Source organism: Homo sapiens, chromosome 16 (genome assembly GCF_000001405.40).
Source record: "Homo sapiens chromosome 16, GRCh38.p14 Primary Assembly".
Classification (NCBI taxonomy): domain Eukaryota; kingdom Metazoa; phylum Chordata; class Mammalia; order Primates; family Hominidae; genus Homo; species Homo sapiens.
In genome coordinates, this window is record NC_000016.10 from 15,434,888 (window position 1) to 15,462,695 (window position 27,808).

Genomic DNA, 27,808 nt, shown 5'->3' on the forward strand with positions numbered 1-27,808 from the left:
GCTCAGGGGGATACGCAGCTCTGCGCAGCGACGCGCTCTCCCCGCGAACAAAAGGGGGGGACCCTCCGGGCTGAGCCTCACTGGGAGGGTTGGGAGATGGCCAGGCAGCTAAGGCAGGAGCCTGGGCTCGACTTAGGAGTCCCGGATCCGTCAGCTCGCAGCTGGTCCTGTGAAGTCGGGTCTCTCCCACAGCCCAGGGAGGAGGATCCTCTCTCCGCCTGGGATGCGCCAGGGCGCTGGAGACGCGGGACCGTCCTGGAAAGCGCCCACGTCCCTGGAGAGGGGGGAGTGTCTGCTGGTTTTCCGCTTGCTTTCCTACCCCCTGCGTGAGGTTTCGGAGCGCACCTGAAATTCCCAGCTTTTCCTCCCTCGCCTTCCTTGGGTCGGGGTGGGAGGCTTGGGGCGGCAAAAGGGTCAAAAGGCACACACCGTTCTCTTTTCTCTCTTGACTCAGTTAAAGTCTGCTTGGGCACAACTCTAGAAGGCAGTTTCGAAATAGACCGGCTGTATTTATTTACTGGTTCTCTCTGCGGTGTTTGGATGTCAACATTTCTAAGTAAACGAAGGATTTTGTTTTTCATTAATAGGATACAATAGTTGAAACTCCTGCCCTCAAAGTGTAGAGGCAGCGTCAGGGGCTCCAGGGTCACTGGAGGTCCCTGCAAACCCGGGGGCTCCCCAAAGCCGCTGCTCTCACATGGCTTGCCCACCAGGCTGGGAAGGAGAGGTCCTTCTCAGGGACCCGGCAGCTTCCTGCCTCGGCTCTGGGTCACTGCTCCGCGCTCTGCCCCAGCACGGATCTCTGAGCGATGTAGGGCTAAAGTATTGTGAATGTGATCTTATTCTGTCCTCACCTGGTGGAAAATTGTGTGTGCGCGCTTTCTTTCTCTATACCTGTAATTATGGATTTAGAAAATCTTCCTAGAAGGGCTCAACTGTGTTCTGATTCTGACGGGTTGAAGTTGAAATCACAATCCAATGTCTTAGTGGTTCATGGGCTAGGATGGATGTCATAGCACTGCCAACCTCTTTCCTTTTCTTTTTTTTTCTCCCTTTTTAACCTTGGTCTTTCTTTCTAGTTCATCCTTTCAAGACCCAATGACTTGGTGCTTTGGCATAATATCAGGGCGTCAGGGCTGAGGGTCTCTGTTTCTTTCTTTAATTTTTAAGTGCACATAGTGGGTGTCCATATTTATGGAATACATGAGATATTTTGATACAGGCATACAATGTGTAATAATCACATCAGGGTAAACGGGGTATCCAAAACCTCAAGCATTTATCCTTTTTTTTGTGTTACAAACAATCCAATTACACTCCTTTTTTAAAAAAGCCCAGCTGTGTGACTAATTATACTCTTTTAGTTTAGCTTTTTTTTTTTTTTTTTTGAGACGGAGTTTCGCTCTTGTTGCCCAGACTGGAGTGCAATGACACAATCTCGGCTCACTGCGACCTCCACTTCCTGGGTTCAAGCGATTCTCCTGCCTCAGCCTCCAGAGTAGCTGAGATTACAGGTGCTCGCCACCATGCCTGGCTAACTTTTGTATTTTTAGTAGAGATGGGGTTTCACCATGTTGGGCAGGCTGGTCCCGAACTCCTGACCTCAGGTGATCGGCCTGCCCTGGCCTCCCAAAGTGCCGGGATTACAGGTGTGAGGCACCCCACCTGCCCTCTTTTAGTTATTTTTAAATGTACAATAAATTGTTGACTGTAGTCATCGTGTTGTGCTATCAGATACTAGATCTTATTCATTCTATCTACCTATATTTTTGTACCCATTAACCATCTCTGTGTCCCCCCATCCCAATACCCTCCCCAGCCTCTGGTAACCATCATTCTACTCTGTATCTCCATGAGGGTCTCTTGTTTCTTACAAGCTCAAAATAATCTCAACAATGGCTGCCTTTTATTGCTAGATGACCATGTGCTGAGAACTCTAAATGCATCATTTCATTTAGTCCCCTCAACAACCTCCTGCAGTACTAAGATTTATAAATTTAAATCTTGCCTAGATTTAAAAAAACATTTTAAAATAAAAATTTTAAAACAAAACATTTTAAAATAAAAAATTTAAATATAAATTTAAAATCTTGCATAGATTTAAAAAAACAAAACAAAACTGGGACTTGTTAGGTGATCTGACAGTTAAGTGGCAGAACCAGGATTTGAACCCCGGTCTGTTGGACCCCAGAGCCTGCTTTTAACATGAAGGTTTATTGCTTTCATGGTTTCAGAAAACTTCCTAAGTCTATTGAGATAGTCACAGAACATGCTCAGTGATTTTATAATTATGTGGCAGCCCTGTTGCTCTCTGAAGCTCACAGAGGCCTTAAAAAAATGCTGGGTCCACGCAGAATGGAAGCTGTTCACAAGAGTGCTGCTTTGAATCCTCACTCTGTGCCTTGCTGGCTATGTGACTTTAGGAGTATTGCTAAGCCTCACTCTGCCTTCATTTTCTGAAAATAGAGATTATGTCTTTATTGTGTATACTAAATAAGATGATACATATAGTACTCAAGGTTAAGTGCTCAATACGTATTGTTCACTTCCATTCGGTTACTGCACAACATTTATAGACAGAACCTGCTTTTACTCTTTGCAAGGAATTATGTAAATATTGGTCAATTCTTCAATAATGCCCTTGTAGCTTTTTATATCTTAACATTTTATGAGAAAAAATTTGAAACATGCAGGAAAATTGCAGCAAGCACCCAATTTACAGCAGTTTCAATCCTGAAATTTTTGTACTTCTGGGTCCTATGCTGCACACTGTTAAAAGTCAGGTATAAGGCCAGGCGCATTGGCTCACGCCTGCAATCCCAGCACTTTGGGAGGCCGAGGCGGGCGGATCACAAGGTCAGGAGATCAAGACCATCCTGGCTAACACGGTGAAACCCCATCTATACTAGAAATACAAAAAATTAGCTGGGTGTGGCAGTGGGCGCCTATTGTCCCAGCTGCCGGGGAGGCTGACACAGGAGAATGGCGTGAACCTGGGAGGCGGAGCTTGCAGTGAGCCGAGATTGCACCACTGCACTCCAGCCTGGGTGACAGAGTGAGACTCCCTCTCAAAAAAAAAGAGTCTGGTATAAAGTCCTTCTTACCCTCTGTTTCAAACCATCAAAGACTCAGTCTTGCTTCCTAGTCAAAGGCAAGAGGAACAGCTCCTGATCTGTACTTGCGTGGATCCTCAAATCTGGTTTTTCTTTTCTTTTTTGAGATGGAGTCTCACTCTGTCCCCCAGGCTGGAGTGCAGTGGCATGATCTCAGCTCACTGCAACCTCCGCCTCCCAGGTTCAAGCCATTCTCCTGCCTCAGCCTCCCAAGTAGCTGGGACTACAGGCGCCTGCCACCACGCTCAACTAATTTTTGTAGTTTTAGTAGAGAGGGGTTTTCACTATGTTGGCCAGGCTGGTCTTGAACTCCTGACCTTAGGTGATCCACCCACCTCAGCCTTCCAAAGTGCTGGGATTACAGGCATGAGCCACCACACCTGGCGAAAGCTGAAATTCTTAAAACGTGGATCCAGAGTCTAACTTTTGAAACTTGAATCTGGCAAGTTTTATTTTCTAGACTATTTTTTTTTTTTTTTGAGACAGGGTCTTGCTCTGTCGCCCAGGCTGGAGTGCAGTGGCACAATCAGCTCACTGCAACATCTGCCTCCCAGGTTCAAGCAATTCTCCCGCCTCAGCCTCCCGAGTAGCTGGGATTACAGGCATGCACCACCACGTCCGGCTAATTTTTGTATTTTTACTAGAGATGGGGTTTCACCATGTTGGCCAGGCTGGTCTCGAACTCCTGGCCTCAAGTGATCTGCCCTCCTTGGCCTCCCAAAGGGCCGTGATTACAGATGTGAGCTACCATGCCTGGGCCTGTTTTCTAGATGCGTGTTTGCACGCAGGGGGTGTTTGATTAAACCTTTTTTGGAACACTCTTTCAACTCTCAGGGTATCTATGGATCCATTCCATAAAGCCTGGGCCCTCCATTTATTTATTAAGTGTGAAAATTAGTACTTTTGTTTCTATGGCATGACAATTGCCAAGCCAATGTTGTAACACATGAAATGCTGGAGAAAAGAAGAGTCCCCTTAAAAAGAAGACATGCTCTGTTTAACTTCCACACATTTTAAAATATTTTATGTTAAACACTGAGTAGGTGTAAATTAAACAGAATTGAAGAGGGGAGGGAGACTGCAGAACTGGTCTTTTTTAGTTAAGATTGTGTTGACTGCTATTTTAAATTTCAACTATAGTTTTTAGATAAAAGATATGTAATGTGCTATATCAGAGTAGCAAAGAAGGAACGTTTTGAAGTTAGGCTGAATGAGTTCAAACCAGCCTCATTCAGCTGTCACTTGGTAGATTTGTGACCCTGGGAAAATTGCTCAAGGTCTCTGTGTGTCAGTTGCCTCATCTGTGAAATGGGGATAATTGTAGTAATGCGCACTTCGGACTCTTGGAAGATTAGATGAGATAATGTATATAATGCATTTAGCACAGGGCCTCACATGCTGAAAGCGCTCAATCAAGGTTGAATGGTTGTCATAGGAGGACAGAAGGGGATTGCCCCAGCAATATTTGCAGAGGTTATCCCAAACTCACCAGTTACAGCTTTTCATTGCTTCCATTTCTTAGTAAATTCTGGTTAATGATTCTGTACATACTGCCTTCCTCATGGGAACATGTGGAGAAAGGCTTCTGCACCCTTACAAACCATCTAGTATTTTCTCCTTTGAGAAAGGTTCAAAGTAATTGCTCCCAGCCACCTTCAACAGCGTTTTTCCACTAGCAGGGAGGTTTTTTCCCCGCTCAGCTGGAAAATGTATAGTGACATTTCAGCGTGGTTAGATATATAAAAATACTGCTTTCAACCAAGTGTAATTAATTGAGGGAGACATGCAGACAAGGTGCCTTTTGAAAAAGCGCAGAGCTTTTCAGAAACACAGTTGTCTCTGTTGTGGCCATTTCTTGATAGATTTGTATGTGTCTTAAAGGATGATCAAGATTTTGGACAGGGGAAATGGAGGAGTTGGAGGCGGGAGAGGGGAATGCCAGGAGAGGTAATAGCATCAACTGGCTGGGTGTGGTGGCTCATGCCTGTAATCCCAGCACTTTGGGAGGCTGAGGTGGGCGGATCGCTTGAGGTCAGCAGTTCGAGGCCAGCTGTCCCAACATGGTGAAACCCTGTCTGTACTAAAAATACAAAAATTAGCCAGGCGTGGTGATGGGCGCCTATAGTCCCAGCTACTAGGGAGGCTGAGGTGAGAGAATTGCTTGTACTCAGGAGGCAGAGGTTGCAGTGAGCCGAGATTGGACGGCTGCATTCCAGCCTGGGTGACAGAGCAAGACTTAATCTCAAAAAAAAAAAAAAAAAAAAAAAAAATCAACACAGACATAGTGCTGGAAATAAATGCTCTATGAGTAGGAGATTGGAATGAAGTAGAGAGCTCAAACTGCAATCTTTCCATAAGCCCGGGGGAGATGACTACTATTTAAAAGTTCAAAGTTGTGTACTGACTAACAAGCAGATCGTAAAACTGGCCAGCGTTTCAGGTTTCATAAACAGTGTGGAGGCTGAAATAATGCAAATTGCTGGCAATCTATATAATAGATTCTTGGGGAAAGGTTTGAACTATCTTCTGTTTGGTTACATATGCTCATTTTATTATTTTATTTTGGTTTTGCATCATTTCTTTTTTTCTGATTCTAGAAGTAATACATGTACTTTATAAAAAATTTGAATTCATCTGAAATATGAAAATAAAAAGTAAAAAACGACCATCATTTGCTCCCCAGATCCCATTTATTCACTCCATAAATAGGTACTGAGTGCCTTACAAGTGCCAGGAAGTGTTCTAGGGGCTGCAGGTACAGTCTTGAGATTTCTCGACAAAGTCCCTGCCCACATAAAGCTTCTGTTTAGGGGAAGTTAAGACCTGGGTTGAGAGTGAAGGCGTCAAATATTACATAAGCAAACAAGTAAGATGGTTTAGGTCATAGTAAATGTTTCATGGGCATTAATAGGGAAGGGGTACTTTTCATTTGGTGTTCAGGAAGCGCTTCTCTAAGGAGGTGACATTTTGCTGTATCAATAGCAGGAATCCAGGCAGTAAACGTAAAGGCCTTGTGCTAGAGGAAGAGACAGAAGGCCAGGGTGGCTGGAACCCAGTGAGTCAGGGTGAAGGGCAGATGAATCAGAGGGAAGCCAGACTAGGTAGGGCCTTTTAGGTTGTGATTAAAACAAACAAACAAAAAGTCTGAAATTTATTCTCATTGCAGGAGAAACTGCTAAAAAATTTTAATCAAGGGACTAACATGAACTGTTATGTTTTTTGAGGTTTTTTGTTTTTGAGACAGGGTCTCGCTTGTCACCCAGGATAGAGTGCTGTGGTGAGATCTCGGATCACTGCAGCTTCAACCTCCTGGGCTCAATGGATTCTCCCGCCTCAGCCTCCTGAGTAGCTGGAACTACAAGTTCGCATGCCTCTAGAGCCCATTAAAAAAAAAAAAAATTAAGACAGAGTCTCGTTCTCTTGCCCAGGCTGGAGTGCAGTGGTGTGATCTTGGCTTGCTGCAACCTCTGCCTCCTGGGTCCGAGCGATTCTTCTGCCTCCCAAGTAGCTGGGATTACAGGTGCCCACCACCATGCCTGGTTAATTTTTGTATTTTTAGTAGAGATGGGGTTTTTCCATGTTGGTCAGGCTGGTCTCGAACTCTTGACCTCAAGTGATCCACCTGCCTCAGCCTCCCAAAATGCTGGGATTACAGCCGTGAGCCACGATGCCCAGCAGCCCTGTTAGTTTGTGAATTTTTGGTAGAGATGGGGTTTTGCTGTGTTTCCAGGCTAGTCTTGAACTCCTGGGCTCAAAAGCAATCTGCCTGTCTCAGCCTCCCAAAGGGCTGGGACTACAGGCAAGAGCCACTGCGCCCAGCCTGGTTTTTGTTTTTAAAGGGTCATGTTGGGTACTAGATGGGGAATAAGTCCATAGCGGGGCAAGTGATGATCAATGCAAGCAGCATTTGATATAGTCCGTGATTCCTTCCTAATCAATTTTATTTTGGAGAAGTGGTGGCAGTTTCCTTGAGTGTGAAAGGTGTGACAAGGGCCCCATGGGTTGTCCTCTGGAAGATCAAGCACCTGGTTAAGACTTAGGAGAGGGAGGCCGGGCACAGTGGCTGAAGCCTGTAATCCCAGCACTTTGGGAGACCGAGGCAGGTGGATCACCTGAGGTGAGGAGTTTGAGACCAGCCTGGGCAACATGGTGAAACCCCACATCTACCAAAAATACAAAAATTAGCTGGGCGTGGTGGCGCATGCCTGTAATCCTAGCTACTCGGGAGGCTGAGGCGGGAGACTCACTTGAACCAGGGGGCAGAGCTTGCAGTGAGCTGAGGTCACACCATTGCACTCCAGCCTGGGCGACAGAGTGAGACACTGTCTCAAGAAAAAAAAAAAAAAGAATTAGGAGAGGGATAGATTCTGCACTGTCTCTTGACAGGCAACTATGTAAGTTATTGCAAAACTATTATAGCAGTGATATAAATATTACAAATATGATAGTATCTAGAATGTACTTTGAACAAGCCCAATTATTTACACAGTTGAGTAATGTCTGCTCATAACTTTGCTCATAACATTATGTTTTATTTTTGCAAGAGTTTCCTCCTGTGTTAATTGAAGAAAAAATTAATCATGCCTATTCTTGGACTGATTAGTTATTAAACACATATTAATAATAATATCCATTCAATGAGTTTTAGCTATGAACTTGAGCTTATTAAATTCTCATAACAGCCCTATGACATAAGGAGAATTATTATTCCCATTTAAACATGGGGAAACCGAGGTTTCAGGGGGTTAAGAAACTTGCTGAAAGGCATAAAGCTAGAAGGTGGTAGGGCTGGAGCCTGATTCTAAGCCCTCTCTGCCTCTGGATGTTCCTATCCACTGTCTGTTATTCTTGGTTCAGTGCTGGGTGCTGTAGAGATTAGAGATGGAATAAGACAGAATCCCAGCCTTCACTCTTAAAAGGTTTACAGATTTGGAGTGAGAGACACAGCCATAAAGAACACCACAGGGCCGGGCGTGGTTGCTCACACTTGTAATCCCAGCACTTTGGGAGGCCGAGGCTGGTGGATCACTTAACATCAGGAGTTCAAGACCAGCCTGAGCAACATGGTGAAACCCCATCTCTACCAAAAATACAAAAATTAGCCAGGCATAGTGGCATGCATCTGTAATCCCAGCTACTCTGGAGGCTGAGGCAGGAGGATCACTTGAACCGGGGAGGCAGAGGTTACAGTGAGCTGAGATTGCACCACTGGACTCCAGCCTGAGCGACAGAGCAAGACCTGAGACCCTGTCTCAAAAAAAAACACCACAGGCTGGGTGCGGTGGCTCTCATGTGTAATCCCAGCACTTTGGTAGGCCCAGGCAGGGAGGATTACTTGAGCCCCAGAGTTTGAGACCAGCCTGGGCAATGTGGCGAAACCCTGTCTCTACCAAAAATACAAAAAATTAGCTGGACGTGGTGCTAGCTACTTGGGAGGCTGAGGTGAGAGAATCGCTTGAGCCTGGGGGGCCCGGAAGCTGTGGTGAGCCAAGATGGCACCACTGTACTCCAGCCTGGGCGACAGTGAGGCCCTATCTCAAAAAACAAACAAACAAACAAAAACAAAAACAAAAAATCCACCGCAACTTATAAAGCAGTATAATGAAACACATGCTAAATGAAAAGTACAAGTGTGGGCCAGGCATGGTGGCTCGAGCCTGTAATCCCAGCACTTTGGGAGGCCAAGGTGGGAGGATCACCTGAGGTCAGGAGTTCGAGACCAGCCTGGCCAACATGGTGAAACCCTGTCTTTACTAAAAATACAAAAAATTAGCCAGATGTGGTGGTGCACACCTGTGATTCCAGCTACTCGGGAGCCTGAGACACGAGAATCGCTTGCACCCTGGAGGTAGAGGTTGCAGAGATTGCACCACTGCACTCTAGCCTGAACAACAGAGCGAGACTCTGTCTCCAAAAACAAAAAAAAAAGTGTGAAATTAGGAAAGAAATTGGCTGTGACTGGGGAGCTGCAGGCCAACAGCAAAGAGGGGTGTTTGCATTGGGCCTGAAGGCTAAACAGGGTTTCAAAAGAGGAAGAGTGTAGAGAAGGGGATTTCAGGTAAGCTGTCTGCCCCAGGCACAGAGGTGAATATTCCAAAGGCCAGGGTCCAGGCACCAGCTTTGTTTTTTTTTTTTTTTTTTTTTTTTTTTGGCTGTTTCTTTCCCCTTGGCTTAATGGATCCTGGGACTGCCTGGTTCACTTATATGAATGGGCTTGGGGGTTGGTTGGAAGCCAGCACAGGTAAAGGCCCTCTTTTAGTACTTCACTCACAAGTTCCCCCAAAAGATAGAATCAATTCATTTCTTCACTATTCACTTGTTGTGGGCGTCTCCTGTGCACTTGTTTTAGAGGAACAGAGCTAGATGGGTCCTGACCCCACCCTTAAGAATTCCGTCCTACTGTGGTCCATTTCTTCCTCTGCTGCTTCCTAGCACTGTGATCTTGGACAATTGGCCTAACTTCCCTAAGCCTCAGTTTCCTCATCTGTAAAATGGGTATAGTGATTTCTTTAATCCCCTGAGAAATAAACAGAATAATGCCAGGAAAGCATGGTGACAAATACATGTCACTAAATGTTATTGATGGTAGCAGTGTGAAGGCTCAGCTCTGTTTTGCAGACGATATTTATTGAGAAATGCCTGCCAGGCTGGGTGGGAGGAGCTGGCCTCATAGTATGAGTACATGGTGGTCCTGCATGGAAGAGCAGATGGTTTCTAGTTTATTGGTTATAAGTGTGGGCTTTCGAGAGAGCTTTTATTTTGAGGCCTGGCTCTGCCATGTCCTGGCTCTGGACTTTGAATGAGTTATTTCACCTTTTTTTCCCCCACCTCAATCTTTTGCTATCTGTATCTGTTCTCAATAATAACCATGAGGAATTATATAAATCTGAAGAAGTTTCTCAAAGTCAGTTTTTGAGACAGGGTCTTGCTCCATTGCCCATATGGGAGTGCTGTGGCACAATCACAGCTCTTGCAAGCCTCAACCTCCTGCCTAGGCCTCCCGCCTAGGCCTCCGAAGTAGCTGGAACTACAGGTGCACACCACCACGTGTGGCTAATTTTTACAATTTTTTTGTAGAGGTGGGGTCTTGGTATGTTGCCCAGGCTGGTCTTGAACTCCTGGCCTCAAGCAATCCTCCTGTCTTGGCCTCCCGAAGTGCTGAGATTATAGGCATGAGCCACCACGCCTGGTTATTTCACCTCTTAAGCTTTGGTTTCTGCAACTGTACAACAGTGACAGTAATAGTATCTACTTAGGATAGCTGAGAATTCCTTGAGACACAGATTGGAAATCATTCAATACAGAGGTCAGTACATGATACATGTTTAGTAAATGTTAATTATTATATTATTGGCTTTACAGCTATGGCAACAGGTACATAAAAAGGTAAACTTGATTTAATAAGGGTGTGTGAGTAAGTAGGGGGCTGGCAGCAGGGTAGCTAATGGAGCAAAGAGGAGGGGCTTAGCCAACCCTGGGGCTTCTGAAAACTTCTGGAAGAGCTGAGCCTTAATAAGAAAGAATAGAAGGAAATACATATGTGGAATCACCATTAATTGTTAGGAAAAACCAAATTGGAACCTTACTGAGATATGTAGCCACTGGAAAGGCTAAAATTAAAAGGACTGATCATACTAAGTGCTGGAGAGGATGTAGATCAACTGGCACCCTCATGCCTTGCTGGTAGGAATGTCACATGGGGGGAAATGGCTTGGTCATTTCTTAAAAATTTAAACATACACCAATCATAGGACCCAGACGGTGCACTTCTGGGTATTTACCCAACAGAAATGAGAGCAAGTGTCTCTACAAATATTTGTACACAAATGTTCATAGCAGCTTTTTTAGGAATAGCCCCAAACTGGAAACAACCCAAATATGGTATAATCATACAACAGAATGCTTCTCAGCAGTAAAAAGGAACAGACTAAAGACACACTATGTAAATGGATCACAAAATCATCATGCTGAGTGAAAGAAGCAAGCAAGAAAGAAAAGAGTACATACTGTATGAGTCCGCTGACATGAAATTATTTTAAAAACTTAAACTATTGTATACAGACAGAAAGTAAGCGAGACTCTAACTCTACAAAAATAAAAATAAAAAAGTTAGCTGGGCATAGTGGCCCACGCTTGTGATCCCAGCTACTTGGGAGGCTGAGGCAGAATGGCTTGAGCCCAGGAGTTCAAGACCAGCCTGGGCAACATAGCAAGTCCTCATCTCTACAAAAAAATAAAAAAATAAACTGGCTGAGTGTGATGATGTGCACCTGTAGTCCTAGCTACCCGGGGGCTGAGGTGGGAGAATCTCTTGAGCCCAGGAGTTTGAGGCTGCAGTGAGCTATGACTGCACCACTGCACTCCAGCATGGGCAACAAAGTGAGACCTTGTCTCTAAAAAAATAAAGAAAATGATTATAAGAAATAACATGCATGAAGTTCTTCCTATGAGCCACTGTGTGCATGTTTTACATGCATCCTCCGCTCCTTACAAAACGTTCTGTGAGATGAGACACAATATAGCCATCTATTGCATTTATTGTTCTATTTACAGAGGAGCAAACTGAGGCTTACAGAGGTTAAGCAATTGGCCCAATGTCACTCCACTGATAAGTGGTAGGGCTGAGATTTGAACCTAGCACAGGTTGACTTAATTCTGCTACCTTCCTAATTTCCCAGGATTAGTTGAAGCTGCCATTGATATAGATGCTTAATGTCAACTAGACACATCTCTGTGTTTCTTAGAACTGATTCTGTTCTCTGGCTCATTAATTTCCTTTTCCATTACAAACATGCCTCTTGTAAGCTTGAGGACTACATCTCACCACTTCAAAGTGCCTTCAGTGTCAAACTGGAGTGGAAGTTGAAGACGTTCACAAAAATGGAGGAGGGAGAGCCTTTCTGTTTTGAAGACTTGTAGCTTCACAAAGAAAGGCTTTCTTTGAATGATCAAGAAGGATTTCTAGGTCAATATAGGGGCATATTACTGTAACGTTTGGCAGCAGGAGCTCTGCCTGCATTTGAATCCTGGCTTTACCACTTCATAATAGTTGCGTGATCTTGGGCTAGTTACTTAACCTCTCTGAATTTCAGTTTTCTCATCTGTAAAATGGGGATAATAACAGGATCTGCCCCAAAGGATGTATTGGTCCGTTTTCACACTGCTATAAAGATACTACCTGAGACTGAGACTGGGTGATTTGAAAAGAAAAGAGATTTGATTGACTCACAGTTCCACCTGGCCGAAGAGTCCTCAGGAAACTTAAAATCATGGCGGAAGGCACAGGAGAAGCAAGCACCTTCTTCACAAGGTGGCAGGAGAGAGTGACAGAGGGAAGCACCAGATACTTATCAAACAACCAGATCTCGTGAGAACTCACTCAGTATCATGAGAACAGTATGGGGGAAACCGCCCCCATGATCCAATTACCTCCCACCAGGTCCCTCCCTCCACACATGGGGATTACAATTCAGATTACAATTCAAGATGAGATTTGGGTGGGGACACAGCCAAACCGTATCAAAGGCTAATTAAGAAGATTCAATGAAATAATACATGAAAGCCCTTCACAGAGTCTGGTGCTCTCAGTAAATGGTGGCGATCATGTTAATAGAAGAGGATGTGAAGTGGGAATTGACCTGATAGTATCTGAATAGTTGGAGAGAAGGAAGAGAGAGAAGTTAAATTTAAGTGGGTGAACCTCAAGGAAGAATGGAGGTGACGATGAGCGTGGAGATTTCTGGAGGCGTGCATGAGCTTCGCTGCATTGGAGGAGTTGTGAGATAAAAAGGATGGTTAAGCAGGACCACTAGACTTTGGTGGATTAAAAAAGGACTGGCAATATGGGGCCATTGGAGGACAAGGGATGGAGGGAAAGAAGTAGCATTTATTTATTTATTTATTTTTGAGACAGAGTCTTGCTGTTGTCTCCCAGGCTAGAGTGCAGTGGCGTGATCACGGCTCACTTCAACCTCCACCTCCTGGGTTCAAGCGATTGTCCTGCCTCAGCCTCCTGAGTAGCCGGAATTACAGGTACCCGCCACCATGCCCAGCTAATTTTTGTACTTTTAGTAGAGATGGGGTTTCACCCTGTTGGCCAGGCTGGTCTCAAACTCCTGACCTCAGGTGATCTGCCTGCCTTGGCCTGCCAACGCGCTGGGATTACAGACATGAGCCACTGCGCCTGGCCGGAAGTAGCATTTTAGGAAGGCTTGTCTGGCAATGGTGACCAACTGGATGCAAAGTCAGGGGCCCTGGGGATAAGAAGGTCAGCTAGGAGGGTTTGGAATTATCCCATGATGAGGGCTGTATGTCCAAATATCCATGGCAGGGCTGGAGTCTGCAGGAGCAGTGGGTTTGAAAGAAGGGGCTGATCAGAAATCTTGAAGGGAGAAACCCATAGTAGTTATTATGTCTCAGAAGGAAAGAAGGTCTTCTAAGTGCTCTCAATGTGATAGGCAAGGAAAAACCCTGTCATTAGCCTGAGGTCTTAACCAGTTAAAAATATCAGCATCCAGGCGCAGTGGCTTACGCCTGTATTTGCAGCACTTTGGGAGGCCCACGCGGGTGGGTCACTTGAGTTCAGGGGTTCAAGACCAGCCTGGGAAACGTGGCGAAATCCCATCTACCAAAAATATAAAAATTAGCTGGGCATGGTGGTGCAAGCCTGTAATTCCAGCTACTCAGGAGGCTGAGGCATGAGAATCGCTTGAACCTGGGAGGCAGAGGTTGCAGTGAGCTGACATCGCACTACTGCATTCAAGCCTAGGCGACAGAGCAAGAATCTGTCTCAAAAAAAACTGAAAAAACAAAGAGTTGTTCCTGATGCTGCCGTGAGATTAGCATCCTCGCCTTCTGCTTTGAGGGAAAGATGTGAGATTTTCAGATCAGATACAAAGTAACAGGAATAGGTACCATGAATGGGAACCGGCAGCCAAGTGACAGTGTTGTGATGGGTATAGGCTGGGCTAGGTACTTTACACACCTTAAATTTTTGATTCTTAGATGCCAGCATAGGTGAGGTATAACATTTCAGAGTAAGTCACGTCTTTCTGAAACAACAGAAACAAAAAAACGATAAGGCCCCGTTAAATAACTGGTCCGTTTAGCACTACCTGCAATAGCAAAGATGTGGAATCAACCTAGGTGCCTATTGACAGTGGATTGGATAAAGAAAATATGGTACATATATACCGTGGAATACCACCAGCTAGCAAAAAAAGTAAAACTATGGTCTTTGCAGCAACATGGATGCAGCTGGAGGCCATTATCCTAAGTGAACTAATGCGTGTTCTCACTTATAAGTAGAAGCTAAACATTGGGTACAAATGGACACAAAGGTGGGAACAGCAGACACTGGGGACTACAAGAGGGAGGAAGGAGGGAGGGAAGAGTTGAAACACTACCTGTTAGGTACTTTGCTCATTATCTGGCTGATGGTTTCACCCAGACCCCAGATCTCAGCATCATGAAATACACCCTTGTAACAAACCTGCACATGTACCTCCTTAGTCTAAAATAAAAGTTGAATTTTTTTTCTTTTTCTTTAATTTTTTTTTTTTAAGAGAGGGAGTCTCGCTCTGTCGCCCATGCTGGAGTGCAATGGTGTGATCTCAGCTCAATGCAACCTCTGCCTCCCAGGTTCAAGCGATTCTCCTGCCTCAGCCTGCTGAGTAGCTGGGACTACAGGTGCACACCAACACACCTGGCTAATTTTTGTATTTTTACTAGAGACAAGCTTTCACCATATTGGTCAGACTGGTCTCGAACTCCTGACTTCAGGTGATCCACCCATCTCGGCCTCCCAAAGTGCTGGGATTACAGGCATGAACCACTGCACCCAGCCTACTTTATTTTTAATCTCCATCTAGTATTTAGACTAGAGATGGGCAAATTTTTCTTTTTTGTTTTCTTTAAAATTTTTTTTTTTTTGGTAGAGATGGGGTCTCACTATGTTGCCCAGGCTGGTCTTGAACTCCTGGCCTCAAGTGATCTTCCTGCCTTGACCTCCCAAAGTGCTGGGATTACAGGTGTGTGTCATCACACCCAGCCCTGATACACTTTTTCTGTACAAGGATAGATACTATTTTAGGGTGTGCAGGTCATATGGCCCCTGTTGCGACCACTCAGCTCTACCACCGTACTCCAAAGCTGTAGCCTAAAGCTGCCATAGACAGGCACCTAAGTGAATGGATGTGGCTATGTTTTGTTTCAGCTTGATTGGTGAGCACTGAAATTTGAATTTTATATAACTTTCCCATGTCATAAAATATTATTATTCTTTTGATGTTTTCCCACAGCCATTTGAAAATGTAGAGGTCATCTCAAAAAAGAAAAAAAAGGAAAAGAAAATGTAGAAGTCATCCTTAGCTCAAGGGCCATAGAGAAACTGGCATTGGTCTGGGTTTGGTCTGAAGGCTCATGGATCCCTACCCTAGACAAATAATAGGCATGTAAAAGGTATTCACATCACAGCTGGCTTTTTTTTTGAAACAGAGTCTTGCTCTATTGTTCAGGCTGGAGTTCAGTGGCATGATCTTGGCTCACTGCAGCCTCCACCTCCTGGGCTCAAGCAATCCTCCTGCCTCAGCCTCCCGAGTAGCCGGGATTACAGGCACAAGCCACCATGCCTGGCTAATTGTTGTATTTTTAGTAGAGATGGGGTTTTACCATGTTGTTGAGGCTGATCTCGAACTCCTGGGTTCACAGGATTCATCTGCCTCAGCCTCCCAAAGTGCTGGGATTACAGGCATGACCCACCACGCCCGGCCATAGCTGGCTTTTTGCTTGCTGTGGGAGGAGAAAGTTCTGGCTGCTTGGCTTCGATGCTATGCTTGGCTCTTCCAACCACCATTTGTGGCTTTTTGCTGCCAGAGCTTGTCATGCTGCTGCATTGCCCAAGAGAAAAAGTTTGTGAGGTTCCACGTTCCATCATATCGATGATCATTTTAGGGTTTTCACACACAAGAGACAGGATTATTGCAAGCAACAGCAATGAACTTTGGAAAACTCAGAGGTTTTCCAAGTGTGAGATTTAAAGCCTCATGCATGAAACTTTAAATTAGTTTAAGGGGGCGTAACCAGCATAAAAAAAATGAAATAGAAGGAAATAGGAAATAGAAAGCTGCATCTATGCTGCTAAAGTTAAGTCTTATTTCCGTGCAACCTTTCGTTTGTTTGTTTTGTTTGTTCGTTTTCTGAGACAGAGTCTCCCTCTCTGGAGCGAGTCTCACCCAGGCTGGAGTACAGTGGTGTGATCTCTGCTACTGCAGTCCCTACCTTCCGTGTTCAAACGATTCTCCTGCCTCAGCCTCTTGAGTAGCTGGGACCACAGGTGCATGCCACTATGCCCAGCTAATTTTTAGTAGAGATGGGGTTTCACTGTATTGACCAAGCTGGTCTCAAACTCCTCACCTCAAGTGATCCACCCATCTCAGCCTCCCAAAGTGCTGAGATTACAGGCATGAGCCACCATGCCCGGCCTATTTTGTCCAACGTTTGTTTTACTTATGCCTATGTGTGTATGTACATACTGGGTCACTCTTAGTATTTCTTTTTTTTTTTTTTTTTTTTTTTTGAGACAGGAGCTCACTCTGTTACCGAGGCCAGAGTGCAGTGGTGCAATCATGGCTCACTGAAGCCTTGAATTCCTGGGCTTAAGCGATTCTCCCACCTCAGTCTCCTGAGAAGCTGGGACTACAGGTGGGTGTCACCACACCCAGCTAGCTAACTAATTTTTTTTTTTTTTTTTTTTTTTGTAGAGACAGGGTCTTACTTTAGTGCCCAGACTGGTCTTGGACTCCTGGGCTCAAGTGAGCCTCCTGCCTCAGCCTCCCAAAGTGCTGGGATTAGAGGCATGAGCCACTGCATCTGGCTCTCTGAGTATTTCTTACTGTGATCCACAGTAAGTAAACTTATTTAAATAAGTTTGCAAAGTACAGGAACTTAAGGAAAAGGAATGTATCTGGAAATCCTTCCAGAATTTAAAACAAAAAATAGCTCTAGGCACAGTGGCTTACGCCTGAAATCCTAGCACTTTGGGAGGCTGAGGCGGGAGGATTGCTAGAGGCAAGAGTTTGAGACCAGCCTGGGCAACACAGGGAGATCCCATCTCTACAAAACAGTTCTAAAAATTATCCAGTCATGGGGCGTGCACCTGTAGTCCTAGCTACTTGAGAGGCTGAGGCAGGAGGATTGCTTGAACCCAGGAGTTTGAGGTTACAGTGAGCCATGATTGGGCCACTGCGCTCCAGCCTGGGAGACAGAGTGAGACCCTGTCTCTTAAAAAAAAAAAAAGAAAAGAAGGAAGGAAGGGAGAGAGAGGGAGGGAGGGAGAGAGAGAGAGAGAGAGAGAGAAAGAAAGAAAAAGAAAAAGCTAAACAGCCAGACCTTAGAGAGAAGAGGAACCTTGGTGACTAGGAATTTCCAGATGGCAGAAAATTCCGGGTACTGTCATCTGGCTGAATCAGTCCCACTCTTTTGCATCTCTGAGCCACTGTGCCCAAGATTCAAGTACCTGGGGGAGAACACAGAGAAGATCTCTGCGTTAACCAGAGTCCATTTCTGTTGCTTGCAAATCATCCCATCTCCTGTGTGTGCAAACTCCTAAAATAAGCACTTTTAGAAGAAACGCTGACTCGTACAAACTTTCCCTGTGTCCTAAGGCCTCCTGCCAGCTTTGCAACTGCTGCTCGCGGGCAAGGGAACCTCTCCAGTCTCAGGACAATGGTGGTTGGGAGAAGCTAAGCTAAGGTCAAAGCCAAACACAGCGAGAACTTAGCCTAAGTGTATCGGACCAGCTAGGATCAAGACCCAACCCTTGACTAGGAAGGAGGGCATCTTGAATGCCAGTTCCCTAAGACAGCATTTCACGGGTGAGGTGTATTCTCCCATGGCAAGACATTGGAGGTGCTATCATGAGAGAAAGAACAATGGATGCTTGCAGAACAGAACCCGCAGATGACCACTAAGGAATGACACTGGTTTTCCTTCTCTAATAAAAATAACAACAACAACAACAAAAATAGCTGGGCGTGGTGGCAGGTGCCTGTAATCCCAGCTACTCGGGAGGCTGGGGCAGGAGAATCACTTGAATCCGGGAGACGGAGGTTGCAGTGAGCTGAGATCGCACCACTGCACAACTACCTGGGCAACAGCACGAGACTCTGTCTCAAAAACAACAACAACAAAGAAAAAACCAAAACACCGTTGCTTTTATTCTGATAATAAAACAGGGTTAATGCTCGAAATTTTAAAACTAAAAAAATACCAAAAGTTATAAAAGAGGGCAAATGTCATTTAAAGGAATGCTGCAGCGAGGTAGAGTCTCACACCTGTAATCTGAGGCAGAAGGCAGGAGCTTGAGCCCAGGAGTTCAAGGCCAGCTTGGCCAACACAGCAAGACCCTGTCTCTACAAAAATAAAAATAATTACCTGGGTGTGGTGGTGTACCTCTAATTCTATTATTAGCTACTTGGGAGGCCAAGGCAGGAGGATCACTTGACTCCAGGAGTATGAGGCTGCAGTGAGCCAAGACTGTGCCACTGCACTCCAGCCTGGGCAATAGAGTGAGACCCTGTTCTAAAACTAACCGGCTGGGCGAGGTGGCTCACCTGTAATCCCAGCATTTTGGGAGGCCGAGGCGGGCAGATCACTTGAGGTCAGGAGTTCGAGACCAGCCTGGCCAACGTGGTGAAACCCTGTCTCTACTAAAAATACAAAAAAATTAGCTAGGTGTGGTGGCACGTGCCTGTACACCCAGCTACACGAGAGGCTGAGGCTGAAGAATCACTTGAACCTGGGAGGTGGAGGTTGCAATGAGTCGAGATTTCGCCACTGCACTCCAGCTTGGGTGACAGAGCTAACTCTGTCTCAAAAATAAAATAAAATAAAGCAAACCAACAGAATGCCACCAACCTCCAATAACCACTGAGAGCATCCCTTCAGATGTCCCTTCCTCCCTTCCCCTTTCCTTCCTCTCCTCCTCTTCTTCCTGTTCTGAGTCATGTTTCTCAAGGAGAGACAAGTTGTACTTTGGGATCTGGTCTCTTTTCTCACACATCTCTGCTCTCTAGGGGGGCACCTCCCTCCCTATGGATATCACAGGGAGTTTTTTTCCTTTTAGAGTTTGAATGGAGGAAGACTTCAGACAGAACTGTACACAGCACAGAGCTGCAGAGAAGTGGAAGATTAAGAGAAAATAATGTTGGACAAATTAGATGTAGCTTGTATAATCTGGAGCTACAGTCACGAGAATAGGATGTAACATAAAGTCTAATGTGATTCAGCAAACACACGTTTTCATTACTTTTGTGCAGATGGCTCTGCTAGGTGACTTGGAAGGGAAGGAAACCGAGGCAGTGTTGCTTCCTTCGAGGAAGACAGAGTTGCTTCCTTTCCCCCCATCCACTGGGGACAGAATTTCAAAGAGATTACAGCACAGACCAGCCTGTGGCAAATGCATGAGCCAAGTGTGATGGGGACACAGAGGCGATTAAAATGCAATCATTAGGGCTGGTCATGGTGGCTCACGCCTGTAATCCCAGCACTTTGGGAGGCCAAGGCGGGTGGATCACTTGAGGTCAGCAGTTCGAGACCAGCCTGGCCAACATGGTGAAACCCCATCTCTACTAAAAATACAAAAATTAGCCGGTGTGATGGCACATGCTTTTAGTCACAGCTACTCAGGAGGCTGAGGCAGGAGAATCGCTTGAACCCAGAAGGCGGAGGTTGCAGTGAGCCAAGATTGTGCCACTGCACTCCAGCCTGGATGACAGAGTGAGACTCAGTCTAAAAAAAAAAAAAAGATTGCTGTTCTATTTATGCTGTGAACATTGCTGAAAGATTGAGCAGGAAAAATGGAGATCAATGCTCAGTAAGTTCCACCTGAAAGACCTCCTTTGAACATAGCAACTGTTCACTTGGTGAAATTTGGCTATACAGGTAATGAATACTTTGTGAGAAATCACACTCTGTGGTCTCCGAGTAGCATTAACAATCTCTTGCAACAGAGAAAGCTGAAATGAAGAGGAGAAGTGTAGAAAATGTCATCTGAGGGCGCGCGTGGTGGCTCATGCCTGTAATCCCAGCACTTTAGAAGGCAGAGGCAGGTGACCTGAGGTCAGGAGTTCAGCCTGGCTAACATGGCAAAACCGTCTCTACTAAAGATACAGACATTAGCCGGGCGTGGTGGCGTGCACCTATAATCCCAGCTACTCAGGAGGCTGAGGCAGGAGAATCACTTGAACCCGGGAGATGGAGGTTGCAGTGAGCCGAGATGGCGCAACTGCACTCCAGCCTGGGCAACAAATGGAGACTCTGTCTCAAAAAAAAAAAAAAGAAAAGAAAAGAAAATGTCATACCCAACAGTGTGTTGGGTATGACAACTACTAGTGTGTCCAGCCATCCTGGTTTGCCTGGGACTATCCTATTTTTAGCTCTGAAAAGTCTTTTTAAAATTTTATTTATTTATTTATTTTTGAGATGGAGTCTCGCTCTGTTGCCCAGGCTGGAGTGCAGTGGCATGATCTTGGCTCACTGCAAGCTCCGCCTCACGGGTTCACGCCATTTTCCTGCCTCAGCCTCCCAAGCAGATGGGATTACAGGCATGTGCCGCCACACCTGGATAATTTTGTATTTTTTTAGTAGAGACAGGGTTTCTCCATGTTGGTCAGGCTGGTCTCAAACTCCCAACCTCAGGTGATCCACCAGCCTCAGCCTCCCAAAGTGCTGGGATTACAGGCATGAGCCACCGCGCCTGGCCATGTTAACTATATATTAAGATACGAAACAGCTTTCTTTCAAGGGGTGCAGCTTTAAAACAGTCTACAGTAGCAAGGCATTTAACCTGTACTCGGAAGCCAGGAAACCTTGGCCTGACTTGCCACTGTGTTCTTTGAAAGGTCCGTCGTTAATGTTTGACTATTCTTAATGACAATTTGTGGCTTATCAGGTTGACGTTTTCCTTTCTTTTCAGGCAGCTGAGACTTAAGGGAGTGAAGTAATTTGGTGGTATTCATTGCAGGGGCCACATAGATACTGTCAGTACGCTTTTAAAAATCTTTTTAAAGTAATAGATGCTCATTATAAAAATTCAAACAATACAAAAGTGTAGAAAGTAGAAAGTACTTTCTACTTCAGGAAGAAAATTTCCCACCCTCAAATTGTCATTCCGTCACAAGTTTGATGTGTATCTTCTCAGTGTTTTGTTGGACATATGTTAACACATGGATTTTAAAAAATGAATTGGATGATATGTGTACTAATCAGTCTTCTTTTTTTATTCAAACTATATATCATGACCATCTTTCTAAGTCAGTAATACAGCATTATCTTTTCCTTGTTTTTTTTTTTTTTGAGAGAAAGTCTAGTTCTGTCACCCAGGCTGGAGTGCAGTGGTATAATCATAGCTCACTGCAACCTCTGCCTCCCAGGTTCAAGTGATTCTCATGCCTCAGTCACAGGAGTAGCTGGGACTACAGGCACATGCCACCACACCCAGCTACTTTTTGTATTTTTTAGTAGAGACTGGGTTTTGCCATGTTATCCAGGCTGGTTTCGAACTACTGGCCTCAAGTGATCTGCCTGCCTCAGCCTCCCAAAATGCTGGGAAGACACTGCATCAGCCAAAAAAAGTATCTTGTGTTTAATTTGGCCTATGTCTTCCTTTTCTGATCACTGCATAATTTTTCAGTGTCTGGTTATACCTTATTTTTTCTTAATTAATTCTTTATTGATGGACAGCTAGGTGATTTAACAATTTGATAAAGAATGCTGCAATAAATATCTTTTGTCATTTTTGCACATTGTCCAATTATTTCCTCTATATAAATTCACTTTTTTTTTGATGCGGAATCTCACTCTTTCGCCCAGGTTGGAGTGCAATGGCGCAATCTCGGCTCACTACAACCTCCACCTCCTGGGTTCAAGCAATTCTCGTGTCTCAGCCTCCCGAGTACCTGGGATTACAGGCACGCGCCACTATGCCTGGCTAATTTTTGTATTTTTAGTAGAGACAGGGTTTCACCATGTTGGCCAGGCTGGTTTCGAACTCCTGACCTCAAGTTATCCACCCACCTTGGCCTCCCAAAATGCTGGGATTGTAGGCATGAGGCACTGTGCCCAGCCTCCTCTATACAAATAATTAAAAGTAGAATTGCTGAGTTAAAAGCTTTCAACTAGGTTTAGAATGTGGAAGATACACAAATCTGAATTCACTTTATGGGGTGCATATTTGAGACTAAATTAAAACTAATTAACTTGAGGAAGAAAGAAAATATCGTAATTCAAATGATACTGTGGAAAAAGTAGCAGAGTAGGAGTTAGAATACTTTGGTTCTAGAGCTTGTTCACCTTCCAGCTAACTGGTTGACCTTTGACAAGCTTCTTAACCTTTTTGCACGTCTGACTCTTGCCTCCAGTTGTATCTGGTCTCATGAATCTTCCAAATAATTGACAGAGTCATTTTCTACAATGCGAATATGACCTCTGCTTAAGTCCATCAGGAGCTCACCATTGCCTTTGGGGTGAAGCTAAAACTCCTAGCTAACCATGCAGCAGTCTGTGTTTGTAGCTTCCTCTCCCTCCACGTGCCCAGCCAGGACCTTTGATCCACCTGTTCTCACCTCCTTTCATTGCCTTCAATGCTCACAGTTTGCTAAGCCTCCAGATGTTGGTTCAGGTTGTTCCCTCCTTCTGGAATATCTGGTCCCTTCTCTGACCAGCTGACTTCTACTCATTCTTCAAGAAATAGCTTGGACTTTGTATTAGTCCATTCTCACGCTGCTATAAAGAAATACCCAAGATTGGGTAATTTATAAAGGAAAGAGGTTTAATTGACTCACAGTTCCGCATGGCTGGGGAGGCCTCAGGAAACTAATAATCATGGTGGAAGAGAAAGCAAACATATCCTTCTTCACAGGGCAGTAGAAGAGAAAGAACGAGCAAGAACAGGGAAAACTGCCTTAATTAACCATCAGGTCTCTCGAGAATTCACTCACTATCACGAGAACAGCATAGGGAAAACCACCTCCATGATCCAATCACTTCCCACTAGGTCTCTCCCTCAACACCTGGGGATTACAATTCAAGATGAGATTTGGGTGGGGACACAAAGCCTAACCATATCAGACTTCTTACCTTCTCAGAAGACTTTCCTGACACCTACAGGTTGAACTGATGCCTCTTCTCTTGGCTTTTGTGAAGGCAGCATATTACTTTACACATCCTCTGTAAATAGCACACACTGTATTACAACGGCTGACTTTCTTATCTGGGTCACTTCATTCTTTTGAGGGCAGAAACCGTGACCTGTTCATCTTTGAATTTATAGTATCTACCACAGTGTCTGACACATACAGATGTTTGCTGAATCTTTGTGGAATAAAACAATTGATCTATAAAATAAGTGATTGGATTCAGTAATACAAAATTGCAGCCAAGTATGGTGGCTCACACTTGTAACCCCAGCACTTTGGGAGGCTGAGGTGGGTGGATTACCTGAACTCAGGAGTTTGAGACGAGCCTGGGCAACATGGTGAAACCCCATCTCTATAAACAATATGAAAAAATTAGCTGAGTATGGTGGTGCACACCTGTAGTTCCAGCTACTTGGGGGGCTGATGCAGGAGGATTGTTTGAGCCCAGAAGGTCAAGACTGCAGTGAGCTGTGTTGGCACCACTGCACTCCAGCCTGGGCAACAAAGTGAGACCGTGTGTCCAAAAAAAAAAAAAAAAAGTAGAAGTTTATGAGAATTAAAAGTTCAAGGAAACCTCAGAACTACTAAGGAAACATCTCAAAATAATACAGTAAAAAAAACACAAACAAAGCCAGGTGCGGTGGCTCACGCCTGTAATCCCAGCACTTTGGGAGGCTGAGGCGCGTGGATCACGAGGTCAGGAGTTTGAGACCAGCCTGGCCAGCATAGTGAAACCCCATCCCTACTAAAAATACAAAAAAATTATCCGGGCGTGGTGGCGGGCGCCCATAATCCCAGCTACTCGGGAGGGTGAGGCAAGGAGAATTGCTTGAACCTGGGAGGTGGAGGTTGCAGTGAGCCAAGATCGCGCCACTGCACTCCAGCCCAGGTAACAGTGTGAGACTCTGTCTCAAGAAACAAACAAACAAACAAAACACACACACAAACAAACAAAGGAATTAAAATGGCACACTGGAAAATAACATGAAAGAAAGCTATTAAAAAGGAACAGACTAACAAAAAAGACATGAAGGATATAAAAAACAAATAGCAAAATGTCAGGTGTAAATCCAACCACATCAATAATTACATAAATGCAAATGGATTAAATACTCCAATCAACAGGCAAAGATCGTCAGACTGGATTAAAAAAAAAAAAACACCAGGATCCAACTATGTATTGTCTATAAGAGACACACTTCAGATTCAAAGACACAAATAGGTTGAAAAGAAAAGGATGGAAAAATGTATAGCCTGCAAGCATAAGAGAGCAGGAGTGGCTATATTAATATCAGACAGAAGAAAATTTAAGACAAAAAATGTTACTAGAGACAAAGAGGGACATTTTATAGTGATAAAAACAACAATACAACAATTATATATGTGTCCAATAACAAGAGTAGAAGGGAATTGTAGAATGAATTATAGAACCTTTACAGTGTGAATATTGTAACTTACAGTGTGTAAATTACAGTGTGTTTTCAGAACCATACCTTGGAACCTCTCCAGATTCTTTACCTTGTGGCCTCCTGTCCACTCCATTCTAAGGTGTTATCATACTGAAGTGCACCATAGTGGTGGTCTTGATGGGGAAAAGAAATCACAGTAGCACTAACAGGAAACATCCTGAGGGAAGAGGCACTGTCATTTTTAGGTGTAGGGAAGATGTTTAAGAGCCCGTTTTAAACATCTGAGCTTCTGGTCTTTGGAATTTTGTCAGCCCAGAGACAGTTTCTTTTCTTCTCAATTCTCTTTTCCTTTAATTGGTCTTCTTCTTGCCATACCTCATTCCTTAGTCATCCTGGTCTTGATCTCAGAAATCTCACATTCTCATTGATTTAGCATGGTTTTCTACTCTAGTGCCAGTTCTACTGTTGGATGGAAAGAACCATCTTCTGATGTGACAGGAAGCCTTAATTATTAATTTAAAATTCCCCTACCCTTCTCCAACTTCTATGGAAGTTAACTCAGGAATTATTGGAGTAGGTTGAAGATTCTCTGAGTGGGAGGATGGGTGAGATTCAAATTAGAGAAGTACTATGAGGACTAAATGACCCTACCTAAGAAAGACAGTTTCCAAACTAAAGTTATGGGAGTTGGGTACGTAGGTAGGGACTCGGGAACCATCTTGGCTAGAGAAGGGTCAGAGGAAAAATACAGAGGAAATTCATGGGAGAGAGTATCAGGGTGGATATATACGGAACAGATGCATACTTCAAGGGGACATTTAGACATTTTGCTCTGGGATGAGCAAAATCACCCTCTTTTTCATCTCCCAACAAACCATTTAATAAAAAGTAAGACATTACTCATTATCGGAGCAGGATCTGTTGATTTCGTTTTTTAATTTTTTTAATTCATTTGTGTTTGATGTGATGATGTGCCAAGACCAGCCTGAAGGTGGCCAAGGGCAAAAGCAGAGGTTGTTATTTGCAGGCTACGTTGACACTAGGTAGTGAACTTCACAGCTCAACACATCCACACATATTGGCTGAACGTTAATTAGTTCTGCCTAGTTACAGGGTTTCCAAAATGGATGAGACATTCTGCCTCCCCTCAAGGAATTTGTGGGCTGGTAAAGGAGACAGACACAGTAACAGATCATTATGTAATATGCTAAGTGCTTTATCAGAGGAAAAAAGCTGGGTGCAGGCTGGGCGCAGTGGCTCACACCTGTAGTCCCAGCACTTTGAGAGGCCAAGGCAAGCACCTGAGGTCAGGAGTTTGAGACCAGCCTGGCCAATATGGTGAAGCCCATTTTCTACTAAAAATACAAAAAATTAACCAGGAGTGGTGGCACATGCCGGTAGTCCCAGCTACTCGGGAGGCTGAGGCAGGAGGATCGCTTGAACCCAGGAGGCAGAGGTTGCAGTGAGCCAAGATTGCACCAGTGCACTCCAGCCTGGGTGATAGAGCAAGACTCTGTCTCAAAAAAAAAAAAAAAGAAGCTAGGCGCATCAGGGGCTTTGAGCCTTCTGACCCAGCCTGGGAACAGGGAGAAGCACAATTCAAGGGGACATTTAGACATTTTGCTGTGGGAGGAGCAAAATCACTCCTGGCAGGAGCGACCCCCGGGCTCAGTTCACCAGGTGAAAGGAACAGGCAAAGTCACATAAGTACAAAGCAGTGTGGTGCTTCCTGGGACCAAAAAGCAATTCGTTATCAATAAAACATACTTTGCGTTGGTTCCCATCTTACCGAACCTTCTTTCCTTTCTTCTTTCTTCCCTGCTTCCTTCTCACACGCCCTCCACTCACCTCTCAGAACTCATTCTATGTGATCTCTACCCAAAGCACAGTGCTAAGAGCCCGGAATAAAACGGGCAAAACCAACCTAGCCATTGTCCTCATAGAATTAATCATACAAATAAAAATATAATTTTAACCTGTGGCAAGTGCTCAGACAGAAAAAATCCAGTTAGGCTGCCAGTAAAAATACTAGATGTGGCCGGATGTGGTAGCTCATGCCTGTAATCCCAGCAGTTTGGGAGGACAAGGCAGGTGGATTGCTTGAACCCAGGAGTTTGAGACCAGCCTGGGCAACACAGCAAACCCCATCTCTACAAAAATACAAAAACAAAACACAAAAATTAGCCAGGTGTGGTTGTGTGCACCTGTAGTACCAGCTACTTGGGAGGTTGAGGCAGGAGGATCACCTGAGCCCAGGAGGTTAAGGCTATAGTGAGCTGTGATTGGGCCACTGCACTCCAGCCTGGGTAACAGGAAGACCCTGTTTCACCAAAACAACAACAACAACAACAACAGCAGCAGCAACAACAAACAAAAAACTCCCCCAAACAGGTGCCCAGTTAACTTTGAATGTCAGATAAACAACATATATGATTTTGCAGTATAAGCATGTCCCATGCAATATTTGGGACATACTTATCCTACACAAAAATTGTTTTTTCTGTGAAATTCAAAGTTAACTGGATGTCCTGCCTTTTTTTTTTTTTTTTTTTTTTTTTTTTTTTTGAGGTGGAGCGTCGCACTGTTGCTCAGGCTGGAGTGCAATGGCGCCATCTTGGCTCACTGCAGCCTCCACCTCCCAGGTTTACTAGATTCTCCAGCCTCAGCCCCCTGAGAAGCTGGGATTACAGGTGCCCACCACCACGCCTGGCTAATTTTTTTGTATTTTTAGTAGGGACAGGGTTTCACTATGTTGGCCAGGCTGGTCTTGAAGTCCTGACCTTGTGATCCGCCCGCCTTGGCCTCCCAAAGTGCTGGGATTACAGGTGTGAGCCACCACACCTGGCCTGCATTTTTATTTGTAAACCTGGCAGCCTTAAGTCCAAGATCCCATGAGCTCACATGACTAGGGGACCTGAGTTAACCTGGGCTGCAGTGGGAGAAGGTGATTGGAGAAAGCCTGACATCTGCAGAACAGGGAGCTGCACCTGGGAGAGGAGGCCGGAGAGGGGAGTGACCTGGAGAAGGGAACAGCCTGAATGCGAACAGAAATTGGCCCCAACAGAGCGTTCAAGAGTCTGAGAGAAGGCTC

At 44.8% G+C, this 27,808-nt stretch overlaps 2 protein-coding genes across 2 annotated transcripts in view, besides 1 other annotated feature; both read left to right on the plus strand.

The window, feature by feature from the left end:
* Positions 1-27,808, plus strand: part of MPV17L-BMERB1 (MPV17L-BMERB1 readthrough) — a 192,506-nt gene that overhangs the window by 39,134 nt on the left and 125,564 nt on the right. The window lies entirely within an intron of this gene.
* BMERB1 (bMERB domain containing 1) overlaps positions 1-27,808 on the plus strand; it is a 153,672-nt gene that overhangs the window by 300 nt on the left and 125,564 nt on the right. The window lies entirely within an intron of this gene.
* Positions 5-627: an enhancer, noted in NCBI's record as "H3K4me1 hESC enhancer chr16:15528749-15529371 (GRCh37/hg19 assembly coordinates)". NCBI's record gives its function as "activates a minimal SCP1, AML or CMV promoter by ChIP-STARR-seq in primed H9 embryonic stem cells {active_cell/tissue: H9 hESC(primed)}" and the evidence as "EXISTENCE:reporter gene assay evidence [ECO:0000049][PMID:30033119]".